Source organism: Homo sapiens, chromosome 14, assembly GCF_000001405.40.
Source record: "Homo sapiens chromosome 14, GRCh38.p14 Primary Assembly".
Classification (NCBI taxonomy): domain Eukaryota; kingdom Metazoa; phylum Chordata; class Mammalia; order Primates; family Hominidae; genus Homo; species Homo sapiens.
The window spans coordinates 60,627,949-60,643,146 of NC_000014.9; the positions used below are offsets into that span (position 1 = coordinate 60,627,949).

Sequence of the window (15,198 nt, forward strand, 5' to 3'; positions counted from 1 at the left end):
ATGGCCAGGCTGGTCTTGAACTTCTGACCTCATGTGATCTGCCTGCCTTGGCCTCCCAAAGTGCTGGGATTACAGGTGTGAGCCACCACGCCCAGCCAACTGCTACTATTTATTATTAGTAGTAGTATAGAGGTTATTTGCTCAGGGTCACACAGACAGTATGTGACAAAGTTGGAATTTGAACTCAGGTCTATCTGACACCAAAACTTGGGTGCTTAGCCAGTAGGAGATGATGCCTCTAAATGACAAATCCAGGGTAATTCTGAGAATAAAATAACACTTCTAGAAATATGAAAGTGTTATTTCATATTAACACTTTTATGGAGAGAACATACAAGAATGGTCATCCAGCAATAGAAGCCCATCTCTTTAAAATTTCTCCTTCCAGACCCAAACACACATACGAAGCAAATGTCTCCTCCCACTCATCTTGCAGGTCAAGATGACCTTTTATCTATCTGACCAAAATATGATATCTTGATGGTCATAAAACTATATCCTTCTCAAGGGAGGAGGGTAAGGAACTAGAAGTTAATGAAGAAACATGACTGGTGCAAGCCAGAAACACCCAATATTGAGCCAAGATGACCACACCATAGAATGCAGAACCAAGTCTTTATCCTGGCTGATACAGTACCAGCAATATGACTTTGAGTGAACTATGTAGTTCAGGCATATAAATCACAGTGAATGGTGATGCTGAACCATGGCATTAAGGGACAAGTTCTCTGAATAGTGGCCTTAGTAAGATTGGTGTGATTTTTGAAATATTTCTTGATATGGTTCTAGTTCACCCACCAAGTTAATTTCACGCATTTGCCATTCTTCTAGCTGCCTTGGAATTCATATGTGAAATTGTTTTGGATCAGTATATTAAAATAGTTCAATGAAACCCCATTCCTTATTTATCAGGATAAAGTAAATTGATTTAAATTACATTGTTTTAGGTTTCTGACCCCCAAGATTTCTCTGTGTGTCTGTGTTTTAAGCTATCATTTCTCAAACACCTACTATTTGCTAGGCATTAGGCCTACCCTTTAAATACATTAATAGGAGAAATGTTCCTATCACTCACTGTCCCTTATACTCCTGAACATCATTCTTTCATCTATTCAAAAAGCATCCATGAAGCACCATCTAGGTATTTGGCACTGAGCTGGGCACTGGTCATACAAAGATAAATAAAGTGCACCCTCTCATATGATAGATACCCATCTTCTTCCTCTATTTATCTTCCCTCAGATGCCATCTATGCCTTAAAACTTAGACAGAATTATGGACGAGAAAATAAAGAACACAAAGGGAAATTAGGTTCAGTAATAAACAGGAGTAGGGGAATGTCCAAGAACAAAAGTTTGGAAAAATATAAAACCGATCAGACTCTCCTCAGGTGCTCCATATGGATCAGGTCTTACTAGAAATCTCTTACCTGGGAACTTTAAACAAAGGACAGTCAGCCTCTAATATCAGGATGACATCTGGCAACCTGAGAACACTCCAGAGACATTTATTCAATATTCAGAAAAGAAAACTACATGTCTAGGTTCTTTATAAATCATCAGAGTCAAGGTTTTCTTGTTGAGGGGAGGAAGAAAGAAAAAGGAATGATAATGCTACCTTCTGAAGTTGACCAAGACAAAGTCTCTAAATCATCACAAGCTGATCCTATCTAAAGTATGGACAATTTGAAAATCCATGAGATATTTTCCAGATTTTAGCCCAAGTCCTAGACCCCTTGAGGTTTAACTAATGTGCTAAACTCGAAATGATACTTGCCCCTCTAAACCCTTTCTGAACAAGACTAGAAGGGGTTTATTGAGAGCATAATTACTGCTTCTGGAAATAACACCAGAAAATGTTTTTTAAAGGATAAATACTGAGGTGTTTTGAGTGGGCATCAAAGGTGGCAGTGAACTTCTGCCAAGAACCTTAAAAGGCAACCACAATGCAGTAAACTCAGCCTGTTCTGATGGGTTATCTAGAACCTTAAATGTTTTTTTTTCTAGCCACCCTGAACTCTTAACAAGAAGATGACAAACCACAGGTTAGACAACTGCAATAAAGGATGTTATTTATTATGTACAAGTTACACTCTTAATAAATTATCTTTGCCAACATGCTGAATACAGTAAGGCATTCAGGCAGCTGGTGTACTCTTTAGCAGATCTCTAAGATATGATTCTACTAAAAATATAGAAAGAAATTTTAAAACATAAAAAGATAGAAATAGAACCCTGATGGCCTGAAAGCTTTTGTGTACCTTAACAGACCTGTAATTTACTAAGGGGTGAGGGAAAAGGTTGACTGAAGCTGCCTGCCTAATCTAGATTTACAAACTGTTTATAAAATTGGAGCAGTCAGTCCAATAAACATTATGCTTTCTGTACTGCAAATGGCCAGTTTCACTGCATTTGAAGTAGTTGTTGTTTTATGGGAATGTGATGCCAGTTTTCTATAGGCACAGCCTTAGGCATTTGGAAGAATCTAGTTTAAAAAGTGTAACCATAGTTTATACACATGCTTATACTTGTTAACCAATACAACTACAATTATTCCAAAAAGACACTGTTTATATTAGATTTGTTTTTCTGGGTTTAATACAGAGTTAAACACCAATAAATTCACTGAATGTAGTTAGATAAAAATCTTGCTCTCATTACCTTATGAACATTTACTATGGTTAACACCTTCCTGGGGTAATCTGGCAGTATTTTTGTTTGGATTTTTTTTTAATTAAAAAAAATGCTAGCAAAGGTAAAGAGTCACAGTTTAAAGACAAAGATCATTTTTCTAAATTTTTTATAATAAAAATACTTATCTCCCCCAAACATGAATGACGTATATATTAGATACAACTTAATGAAACCAGCCTACACCTTTGTTATAAAATATGTGATGTTACCATGATGCTTTTCTAGGTAATTGTACTTCCCATTTCTCAGGGACAATTTGTCTCCAAGGCTACCTGGACGGTTTTTAGTTTCCACAATCTTATCAAGAGAGATCAGGCAGGGTGATAAGGCTATCCCATATACAGTTGTATCTGGAGGCCATGGCCAAATCCTCACTGTTAGCGCTACACTTGACCCAAGAACCATTTTGTGGATTGCTCGTGAATAATATTTTTAACCATAATTCTCTACTCATTGTTAGAAAGGAGAGCTTTCTTTATATTTAACTGGTCAACTCTTTAAAATAAATGTGACCTCAACTCTATGAATTAACCAGTGGCCATGAGCAGATTCTTTCTGAGACAGCCACATTAAATCATTCTACCAGGAGGGCAGAGGCCTTTCACGATGGTGGTTTTCTAACTATTGCCAAATTCTCAAGGTAGAAAAGTGTTCCTATAAGAGTTAGAGGTACACTCCACTACCTCTTTTCCTTGCATTCACAAACAAAGACAGTACTAAGTTGGAATTCTCATGAGATGCTTACTGTTTTCAACCTTACTTTTATTATCATTGCTTGTACATACATGGCCAGCAATTTCACTTTGCCAGAGATTTCATTCTAGGCAAAATTTCTAATTTAACTGTAACACTCAGAGCATATCTAAATATTTGGATTCATTTCTGATGAAAACAAAGGGGCCAGAAGTTTAGAAGAGATCTCTGTGCTGACATGTCTGCTTTCTAGATGCAAAGCATTTGGCTCAACCAGGCAGCACAAGTTCACTCAATTATCTAATCCCTTCTAGCATTACATTTTTACTTTTTCAAATCTTTAGCTAATTATAAGCACAACTTTATCAGCAAAAGAGAGAAAACGTTTTTTCTTACCCCTTTTGATTCAACTTCATTACCAACTCCAATGTCTCCCCCCTACAAGCCTTAATTAATTACCCACTGTTGATGAATGAGTCAATGATTCAATAGTGTTTATTTCCATTAGTAAAGACAATTGCATAGAATCTACCTGGCATGGTTATGAGAATGTGTGAAAGAGGAAGATATAGGGAAAAGAAAGAGCCAAGCTTTTGAGAGATTACTAGATAGGTCAAATTGCTGAGAAAATAAGTAAGTTACAGTAATCTCTCACTTCACATACATTACCAAAAACTATGGTCCTTAGGAATTCACTGCTGGTTCTGTTTACTGTCTCCAAATAGCTGATCCAAGATAAGAAATTTTTTTCTGACATTAAGCTGATTCGTGAATGCACATTGTCTAAGATGGTACTTCATCTTAATAACCCATTGATTTCTATAAAACTCAATAATCGATTTTTTTCTTACTGAAAAAATTTACCAATCTGGTAGTCATAAAGAGATACAGTATACATATAATAGCCATCAGTATTATAGTCTCAGTAATTCACCTACACTAAGCAAGCTTATATTTTTCTTCCATAAAAAGTATTTATAAACATTATAACTTTTTGTTCAATCTTAAGAGGTTAAATCAATTAAAATATGAATAAATAGAAAGTCTTCAAAGCTTCCTCAGCCATCAGCTTAACAGCCATCCACATACACACAAAAGATACCACACTAAAATCTAGAACAGGAAGTAAAGAATAAATACCACTTCCAGTTATGACTGGAACATAAAGGCGCATACGCCAGGTCTTACATCTGAATTCCAGCCAGGATGCCAGCATCGTTGATACTACTTCCAAGAGAACTAAAAAATATTAAGGTGAATTGTGTGGTCAGGACTTGATGTTTTATTTCTCAGCTCTTAAGAAATGTGGCATCTTAGAATTCTCTTCTCTTAATGGATAAAATACTGTAACTTCAACTTTCGACCAGTTGATGTACTGGGTCAGAAAGGGCTAATGGTGGACTTAAAAATAATAGTTGGCATCAAATTAGCCTTCACAATACAAACTGGCTTGTGGACAAAGAAGGAGCTACAGATCAGGCTCTGGACCTGCTGCCTCTTACCCACTCTACCCAGGGAGGCATGAAATCACCAAAAGCATTTCCCGTAGGAAACCACAAACCCCAATACCTCTGGTCCCACCTGCATGTCCTCTGTACAAGGGTTGGCCCACCCCAATTCTGTTTAACTCTCAGAGCCAGCGGGTATACAACTGCAGCAAACCACTGAATTTCACAATGTAACTTGAGACAAACTGAATCTGAAAGGCTATTTTATGGGTATTTTGCCTCCACTCCTGCAGGTAACACAATCCACAGTTCACCCACTGGCTAGCAGTATTTGACTCTCCTAATCCTCATTACCATACTTCCTTTGGTATACTTCTCAAGGGAAGTATGGCTGAGAACACCAGCAAAGAAAATAGGTCTTTCTTAATCGCTCGTGTTGTTCATAAAAAATATAATGGAAGATTAAAATCAATCTTAAGTCTTGTTTGTGAGTTTTGTTTATATCTCCACAAAGATTTTGTACTTTTGTTTTACTATGTTTATTATCTATTTAAGGTAGTTATCCATATCAAAATCTTCATTGTCCTAAAGTTATACATGATCTAATAATAAAAAGGGGAAGAGATCACAAATTACAATATTTTTCATGAGCATGTTTTTACAGCAAGTTTGCCACCATAAAATGCTGAAAAGTTGAACTTTGAGAAATGAAGCTGATATTTCATTACATTCTCTGTTTAGCTCAGTTAACTAATGTTGAAATTTTTACTTTTTTTTTTTTTTTTGTGACGGAGTTTCACTCTGGTCACCCAGGCTGGAGTGCAATGGCAAAATCTCAACTCACTGCAACCTCCACCTCCCAGGTTCAAGTGATTCTCCTGCCTTAGCCTCCCAAGTAACTGGGATTACAGGCGCCTGCCACCATGCCCAGCTAATTTTTGTATTTTAGTAGAGATGGGGTTTCACCACGTTCACCAGGCTGGTCTCGAACTCCCAACCTCAGGTGACCCACCTGCCTCAGCTTCCCAAAGTGCTGGGATTACAGGCATGAGCCGCTGCGCCCAGCTGAAATTTTTACATTTTATTTGAAGTTGACTTAATTTTCCATTGTTTTGGGCTTTAATCAAAAGGAAAAAATATTTTTAACAGTTGACAGACCAGTCAGCTATCTGAGATTGACCTATAATTAAAATCATAAAATGTTATGCATCATGAAATATGCTGAAAACGTCTAGTATGTTATCTTCTAAGCACTCCATGAGGGCTAATTCATTTTACCTATAACTAATTTCCAGTAGAAAGAGAGTTACCATACTTCTGAGCATACTGACAAGTCTTTCAGTTTCATGAAGGCTAAGTGATTGAACAGGAACTACTATCTCGGCAGTTATATATATAAATTCTTTGAAGAAATTCTACAATTGAAGGGCCTAGATTTCCACAGTTATTTTATTTCACCATGATAGATCTGCTGAGTAGAAATAAGACTCCCCTCTTTATCCAGCCTTCAAGTTCAGTCATATATTTTTTTATTTGAAATGAACTAAAGCTGATTTAGAGCGGACATGCCTTTTGGAATGCCCTGAGGCCTTTCATTTCTTGAATGATATGCTAAGGTTTGGAATCTACCCAAACCTCCTCGAAGAACCCTCTGCAAAGTTTAATCTAATTTAAATTTACTTATTCCTCAGCATAAAGTGCTCTTTCTTATTTCTCTTTGTTTTTTCGAGTGAGCACATGGACATATTTTTGTGTTTCTAAACATTTGGATGCTGGAACAATATAAAAAGAAAAAATACTACATATTTTATTCTAGTCATGTTAAAAGTTGTGGCAGAAAAATATAATTCTTAGAACTCCTGGCCCTGGTATTATGCAAATCATTTCACAATATGCAAATAATTAAGCTGCAGTGTAATCACAGTTCCTACCAAATGTTTCTCCGATTATTAGACACATTCTTAAAAGTGATGGACCTGAAGTTTCACTTTATCTTCTATCCATTTCTGTGTACTGATTACATTTAAATCTTTGCTTTGCAAATAAAAGTAGTATTAGAACATGTATTTGCCAAAAATATGTGTGTAAACAAGTATAATTTTGCAGGCATAAAGCAGAGTATAAATATATAACAAGTCTTTAGGTAAATTATTAAACATGCATCTGCTGTTTCCAGCTCTACTTCCAGGAATTTGTGAGTGTAATACATAATTTTTTTTTTTTTTTGAGATGGAGTTTTGCTTTTGTTGCCCAGGCTGGAGTGCAATGGCATGATCTCAGGTGACTGCAACTTCCGCCTCCCAGGTTCAAGCGATTCTCCTGCCTCAGCCTCCCAAGTAGCTGGAATTACAGGCTGAGATGGGTGGATTACCTGAGGTCAGGAGTTCAAGACCAGAATTTTTTTATTATTACTATACTTTAAGTTTTAGGGTACATGTGCACAATGTGCAGGTTTGTTACATATGTATACATGTGCCATGTTGGTGTGCTGCACCCATTAACTTGTCATTTACATTAGGTATATCTCTTAATGCTATCCCTCCCCCCTCCCCCCACCCCAGAATTTTTTAAACAAACAAAAAAAAAGTGTTCAACTCTTTCTGAGCCTATATGGTGATTGACTACAAATTGATTAACTTCTCTAAATTTAAAATTTAAACATACACAGTTTTTAGTTGGCCAGGATACTTTTGAAGAAAATAAAGATGATGGAAGAACATGTAGTGTTAAACAACTAAATAAAAAATGGTTTTCCAGGCCAGGCTCAGTGGCTCATGCCTATAATTCCAGCACTTTGGGAGACTGAGGCAGAGGATTGCTTGATTCCAGGAGTTCAAGACCAGCCTGGACAACATAGTAAGACCTCATCTCTACAAAAAATAAAAATAAAAAACAAAATTAGCCACGCATGTAGTCCTAGCTACTTAGGAGGCTGAGGTGGGAGGACCATTTGAGCCTGTGAGCTCAAGGCTGCAGCAAGCCGTGATTGTGCCACTGCAGCAAGCCATGATCGTGCCACTACACTCTAGCCTAAGCAACAGAGTGAGAGCCTGTCAAAAAAAAAAAATCTTTCCAGTAGTAATAACAGTGAAATAACTGTGAAGGGATTGCAGTGCATGAGGATCCATCCTTAAAAACACCTACCACAGGCATACTCCACCTACTCTCTAGGTTTCATATCTACTTGTGCTGGGGTTGTTCCTCCTACCAATAGTTCTCTGGTTCTACCACTGCATCATTCTAGGGAGAAACAGTCCCCTTCCTGTTCCTCTCTCCCCGCTCCCACTTTTACCCAAGAAAATTTCAGCTATGCATTTTGCTTTCAATAATACCTGAATGAGAAAGTCCTTGAAATAAGAGAAGGATGTATTATATGTCAAAATGAGCTATTCATCCCTGGTGATCATTAGAGTGTCACAAGAGAAGAAATGTACCCAGGAGGGTCTTGCAAAATTTCAACTCTGGGAAATGTGTTCTATCTAAAGACTCTCCATCATTTCAGCAGCCCATTCATTTACTCAAAAATATTTATCAGGTGCCATTATATCCAGCACTGTGTTAACATCAGCAAGACATTAAATCTTAAAAGTAGTTTCTTATTCTACACTTATGTTGACACATTTAGGTGGGGCCTTAAATTCTCTACTCAGCTAAATGCTTTAGTTCTCTTCTAAGTAATTTGTCATTTTCCGTCACATTTAAGTGGGTTTTATTTTTTATCAATAGAATTCTACCATATATAATGACATTTACGTAAAAGTTCAAATCATGAGAAATAGCGATAGCAAAATCCAAGCATTACAGATTTAAATATTCTTCCGGAATTAAATTACTGGAGTTAAACTTCTAGATTCCAGACTCACAGTTTCAAGAACTAAATTTCAGCTTTGACTACCCTCAAAGTCTAATCAAGCCCTATGTCTTCATAGAATAACTTGCGTTTCTTTTCGTGATCCAGAAAAGGAGGAAATGGCCATAATCTGCCCTCACTACAAACTCTAGCATCACGGGAATTTTCCCAGGCGGCTTTGTGGCAGTCTAAGGAGGCTCCAAGCATGTTATAACTGCTATTCATTTAACGTCTATAGTGCCAAGCACTTTACATTCAAGACTTTGGCTAATTTTAAGCTTCCCTTGCAGTCTAAATATTGTAGTTCCTATTTTCCCGAAGAGGAAATCGAGGCTCAGAGATGTTAACTTGACTCAAACCAATGCAATTTGTGTGTGCCAGCGATGCATCTGTGACATTGCCCCATCAATTCTCTCCACAATGTGTTTGTACGTTTAAGAAAGAAAAAACAATCATCCGTGAAGGTTGAGGAGAGAGATGGGGGTTGATAATGTTGTCTGAGAAAGATTTCTGAACACAAGGGGAAATTTAAAAAGAAAATTCTGTAACAAAACAAACCAGTCGCAGCTGTTTGGGTTAAGGGGGAAAACTCGCCTTGAGGGGTCCTGGGTATACTTCCTCCTATCTACGGCTAGGCTGCGCCTGCATCAGGCGTGGTGATTGGCAGGCGCCTACGGCCCACGCAGAGATGGCCGCGTGGGGGTCGGAGCGCCAACTTCTCAGCTCCCCTTCTCCCATGACCCTCACCCCCCACACCATCTTCAGCCGCCCACTGGGAGCTTCCTCCACCCCTACCCCCCAGTGCCGGCGAGGCCCCCTGGCAGATGGAAGCTGCTGACTGATGGGGGCTGCCGAGCGCGAGGGAGCTGAGTGAGGCCCTTGCGCCCTAGGCGGTTGCACCCCGGACCCCTGCAGCTGTGGACGCCGGAGCTGTGCGCAGTCATCCTGAGCCAGCCCGCGGGGCCCGATCGGAAGGGACGCCTCTCCTAAGAGCTGGCCTGGAGTCCTGGAGCCTCCAAGCGGGCAAGTAGGGGCCGCAAAGGCTGGGCTGGGCCTCCGCTGAGGCCCTCGGGGGCCTCTGGGCCCTCATGGCCTGGAGGCCGCGCGGCCCAAGCCCCTAGAGCAGAGGCCGCGCTAGCCTGCAGGGGTCGACGCAGGGCCGGAGGCAGCGGCTTTTCCTTCCCACTCCGGGTTGACCCTAAAGACACGATTTAACGTGGCGGCGGCAGCTGCCCACGCTGTCTGGAGGAGCAGGGCGCCTGGGATGCGGCGGCGAAACTGGCCCGGAGGGGGGCCCAGGCCTCACGCGCCCGGCTCTCTCCCAGCTCTCCTCCTCCTCCTTCTCGGGCTCAGAAAGCCTTCCAGCCGCGGCCCCAGCCCTCCCCCCAGCCTGTGCTGGGCTCCGCTTTCCCTCCATCAACTCCAAGCCGAATTCAATCCGAGAAGGCTCCTTTGAGCTTTTGTGTTTGCTGGGGGAGATGTGGGCGCAGGAGGGATCGCGTTACAACTTTCATTTCCTGAAATGTTTGAGGGAACATCCAGGGTTTTTATCCCCACATCAGGCCGGGCGATGGGCTCGAGTTTCAGGCCTTGTCACTCAGCTGTCACCAAACAAACGAAGCTCTCAGAGCCCAGGAGAGGGAGAGCTACCTGCTATTCATGACCCCTGGAGCAGGTGATCGCTCATGGGAAAAACAGGTAGAATTAATCATAGGACTGTTCTCTGTTTCCTCTCCTTTTTGGCAGACCTGCCCACAGTGCGAAACCTATCAGCAAACAAATTAACTCTTTCTTGTCACCCAGGGGAATTAAAAATACGGTTTTAGAAAATAACTAAAACACACACGTTTCTCACCAAATGACAAAATGGGAGTTGGAAGGAACATCTTACATCCCGCCCTACCTTGCAATTTCTTAGTTTGTGGGATTCTCATCTTGGTAGGATTTAGAACTTGGGGAAACTGGTAGAGAATGAGGCATTCTCATGTTACCTGGTCCTACTACTGGATGGAGCCCCAGGTGTGGTCCCTGAACTCAGGTAGATTTCAACATCTCCTTCTTGGCTGGGTGTCAATGCAGTTGGGCTTGATCCTACTAAAACAGAAAATCTCTACTCCAACAGGAATTTCTAAGAAATTTCTGTAAATTAGTGTTTTGCTTCCCCCAGCCTCTTCCCTAAGTCAATCATGTTGAGCATCCATGTTGGCTTCTGTGTTAGAAAATCCAAATGCTTTTGAAATCTCCCCATTCATTTCAATTCTAACTTAATCCTAACAGTTTTTTTTAAAAAAATTACTTCTTGCCTTAGTTGAACTAAGAAAGTTCAGCATACTGGCGTTGTTTTTGTAGATACTGTTTAATGGCTACTTATTAAATATTACAATACAAATTTCAAAGTGTATCTTTATTTTGTTTAGTTCTACTTTTCCCTTTTTTACATCTCTTTCCCTTCCCTAGAAAATAGAAAGAAAGAAAGAAAAAGAGGAAATTCATCTGGACTTGCTTCTAAGATATATTGATACTGGAAAAGTTAGGCAAGATGGCTTGGGAATCTTCAACCAGACTGATTTTTTTTTTTTTTTTAAGTAGAAATATGGTAAGGGGCCAGTATTGTCATTCTGCCTTTCAGTTCTTCCATAAAAGTTTTGTGTGCATGTGTGTGTGTGTGTGTGAGAGAGAGAGAGAGAGAGACAGACAGACAGACAGAGAGAGGAATCAGGAGATATACTGTATGTAAAATAATCCTCCTGGTCCTCTTCATGAAGATTTTGTCTGTTTATTTTTAAAATAGCCATTGGTTCCAGATTCCCAGAGCTGATTTTCTTAGATTAGCTATTTGTACTCAGAGGTAGAGCCCTGAGCAATATTATTCTTCAATTAAAATCAAGAACTTGACTTTAGGAGGAAGCATGTTATGTTTATATAACATCTGCAATGCATAGAAAATATTCACCACACATATCTGAAGACAAAGCTTCAATTGTTTAAATGTTCTTTTCACTTCATAGATACTAAGGCATGTTGATCTTCTATCGAGCTTAATTTTTTAAAAAGCTTGTTACCTACTTTCATCTCCAAGGCATTTTAAATAAATACAGAGCTAATGCTGTCTTCCTTGTAACTACCTCCTTGATTTAAAGGTAAAATTACCTTTTGTAAAGTATTGCAGGCTGCCATCTCACCCTCATACATGTGCATTTTCTCTACAAGCACTCCACCAAGTCCCCACCACTACCAGTCCCCACCACTATCACAGGCAAAAGTGCTGCAAAAGTTAAGAGGAATATGACTGCATACAGAGTTTAATATAATAGCTGTGTGAAGGCCAACACAAAATGTCACAATTACGTGGGTTTGGTTTGGTTTGTTGGCTCTTTTGGGGGGTGGAAGGGAAGAGGTAAGGAGGTGTTCACAATCCCATTGTCTTTTCCTGGTATTTAGACTATTTGGAAAACTGGCAACTCAAATTAAAACTGAATTATTGCAAAGCAACTAAAGTTTTTCCTTGAGGGGGAAAAAAAGGAGAGTAGTTAAGTTTGTAAAAACACTTAATAACAAGAAAAGAACATCTAGAAGGTTGATTTTACAGGCATCCTGGCTGGCATCTGCAGATTTTCTATCAAGGATGTCTATGAAATGTTCTTTAACATTTCAATATTCTTTAAGAATCCTGACACTTAATGGCTTATGTCAGTAAAAATATGTAGTCTAGACTGTTTTTTCCCCCCTTTAATATCCCACATGCATATCAGCTCAGGTCTTAAACCACCACCAACCCCCCACTGCTCCCCTCCCCCCACCACCAAAGAATGTTTCTACTGTAAATAAGCCATGGCATTTTAAAACCAATAATCAATTTTAAATCACTAATTAAAATAAATTATATAGAAACTTAAAGTAAATTTGCCTTGTGTTAATCCACGAGTGTTTCTACTTGGGTCTACTTATGTCAGTCTCATAAAACACTGATCTTCTAAGTTAGCATGGAAAGGACGGGACCAGATGAAGGGAGGTGGTATACATTTCCATGCCTTATTATAGTAACTAATTTCCATGCCTTATTATAGTAAGCAAAGAGCCAGAGTCTCTCTGTCTACTTATTTATCTTTTTAATGGCAACCACTAATGGCAGTAAAGAAGGGAGAGTACCCAATATCACCTAACCATACTTTAATTACAGTTGGGTAGCCACTTCAGGTAAGCTTAAGTATGTGTTAAATCTGAAGGTAACTGTTTTCTCTTTCCAAGATAAGATTGTTTGAGTTTTGGGTTTTAGGTTTTTGCTTGTTCCTGCATTTTTCTGTTTAATCACAAAAAAAAAGAATGTTATTTCAAGAATATTTAACATATGGCAAAGGAAAACAGTGAGCACTCTCCCGAAAGGAGAGGGGAGGAGGGAAGATTCTCAGGTAGCAAAGCGGGAGGGAGCAAACCTTAAGGTGATGGGTTGGACTCTATCTGCTGAGAACTGGGGTCTCAGCTGTCCATTAACAAGTTAAAAGGCGAGAAACTTAAACTCCATTGGAGAAGAGACAGGCGTCCACGCGCCTCAAGCAGTCTCTTTCTCTTTGTTTTTAAACGCTACTGCAGTGTTGTTTCTCGCTGTCTGAAAGGACCACAGCGTCTAAAACCCTGATTGTCATCCTCAGTGGGAGAACAGGTTTCCAATTTCATCAGCTGGACCCAAGTTGTGTGTGTGAGTACTTGGTTTAAAATATTAGAGAAAATGCAGCCTTTCCAGGGCAGCGCTTTTTCTGGGTAGACCAATAGCCAACAACTCGCCTATGATTTTGGCTATTTTTGTTCCTGGCTGGCTCACACCACTCGTATCTAACTCAACCCCTTTAGATATTCTTCCAGGTGGAATTATTGGATTCGGTCAGAATGGGGGAGGGGCCACTATGCCCTTAAGAGGCTCAGAAGTGCCTACCTGGCTAAGGTCGCGGAACACGCGTGCAGGCGATGAGACTGAGCCTTCGGGTCCCTCAGTGTGAATTGTCCATGGGGGCGCGGTGGGGACACACACTAGTGCGCTGGCTTCGGGCAGCTGAAGGAGGTAGTCTCCGAGAGTTTTTAGAGTCCCCTCCAAGGGAAAGCTTGGAAAAAAGAGAAATGGAGCGGAGAGAGCACGTGGGCTACCAGCGACCACCCTCACCTTAAACCTAACCCACCTGTCCCTGTCAACGCCACCCTAACAAATCAGGGCAGAAGGTGAGCCGCGACAGCCTGACCCGAAGCGCGCTGCAGACCTAGGCTGGTGCCTTCCCCTTGGGGCCAGGGCTGTGCGTGGGGGACAAGGCCGCTGCTCTCCCTAGGGCCGCTGGCTAAGAAGGAAATACCTGACCTGGCCCCACCAAGAAAGTGGAGCTCCTCCACCCCCAGTTCTGCTGGAGACACTAGAAGCCAGGGCCCCTCTCTCTGCCGCGGGAAGTTCTAGCGACAAGCCCAGAAAGTGACGTCCTCTCTACCTGGCACCCCTCCTCAGAGCGCGCGGGTGAAGAGTTTGGGTCCGAAAACCAAAGCCAAGACCCCAGGAAGCGAAGAAGGAGACAGGAGGTGTCTGAAGCAAGAAGGGCACTGGAGAATCGGCAGCAGGGCCTAGGCCGCCTCCGAACCAGGATCCAAGGCCTGCGCCATCTGCCCTGTGCGGGAAGCGCGGGGCCTGGGAGGCAGGGAGCGCTCACACCTGCGGTCGGGCAGGAGGCGCAACGCGCTGCCAGGGCGGCTTTATCCTGCCGCCACAGGGCGGGGACCAGCCCGGCAGCCGGGTGTCCAGCGCCGCTCACGTGCCTCGCCTGGAGCTTAGCTCTCAGACTCCGAAGAGGGCGACTGAGACTTGGGCCTGGGAGTTGGCTTCGGGGTACCCAAGGCGACGACAGCTGAGTTGTACCACGAAGCTCAGGCCGAGGCCTCCTCCCTTGTCTGGCCTTCGAATCCATACTGGCAGCCTCTCCTCTCAGGCACTCCGCGGGCCGGGCCACTAGGCCCCCTGCTCCTGGAGCTGCGCTATGATCCGGGTCTTGAGATGCGCGCGATTCTCTCTGAACCGGTGGAGAGGAGGCTCTGCCCCGCGCGGAGCGAGGACAGCGGCGCCCGAGCTTCCCGCGCCTCTCCAGGGCCCAATGGCAAGAACAGCCTCCGAAGTGCGCGGATGACAGGAAAAGATCTTCAGTTCTTCTGCCGCTAGAGAAGTGCGGGATACAAGCCTCTATTGGATCCACAACCTGGAGTCCTGCCTTCGGACTTTGCCAAAGACTTGCAGGCGGTGGGGAGGCAGTAGGAAATGAAGCCCCCTCCAGCCTCAGCCGCCGCCGCGTTCGGTGCAGCAGCAGCAGTGCCACTGCCACAGAGCAGAGGAAGGCCCGCTCCGCGCGAGTTCTGTGCCAGGTGTCCCGTTGGCCCTCAGCGGACAAGGGAGAGCCGCTAATAAGGGTCGCTGCTCAGCAAACTCAGAGCTCATCCATAAGTGCCAACGCCACTGCTTCTTTCTGGAAGCTTCCACTCCGGCCCGGGG

General features: G+C 42.1%; 1 long non-coding RNA gene across 1 annotated transcript; it reads left to right on the forward strand.

Moving 5' to 3' along the window:
- Nucleotides 1-11,267: 11,267 nt before the first annotated feature.
- SALRNA1 (senescence associated long non-coding RNA 1) lies at nt 11,268-12,468 on the forward strand. The gene has a single exon (NR_126480.1). It is a non-coding gene; the product is annotated as a senescence associated long non-coding RNA 1 (long non-coding RNA).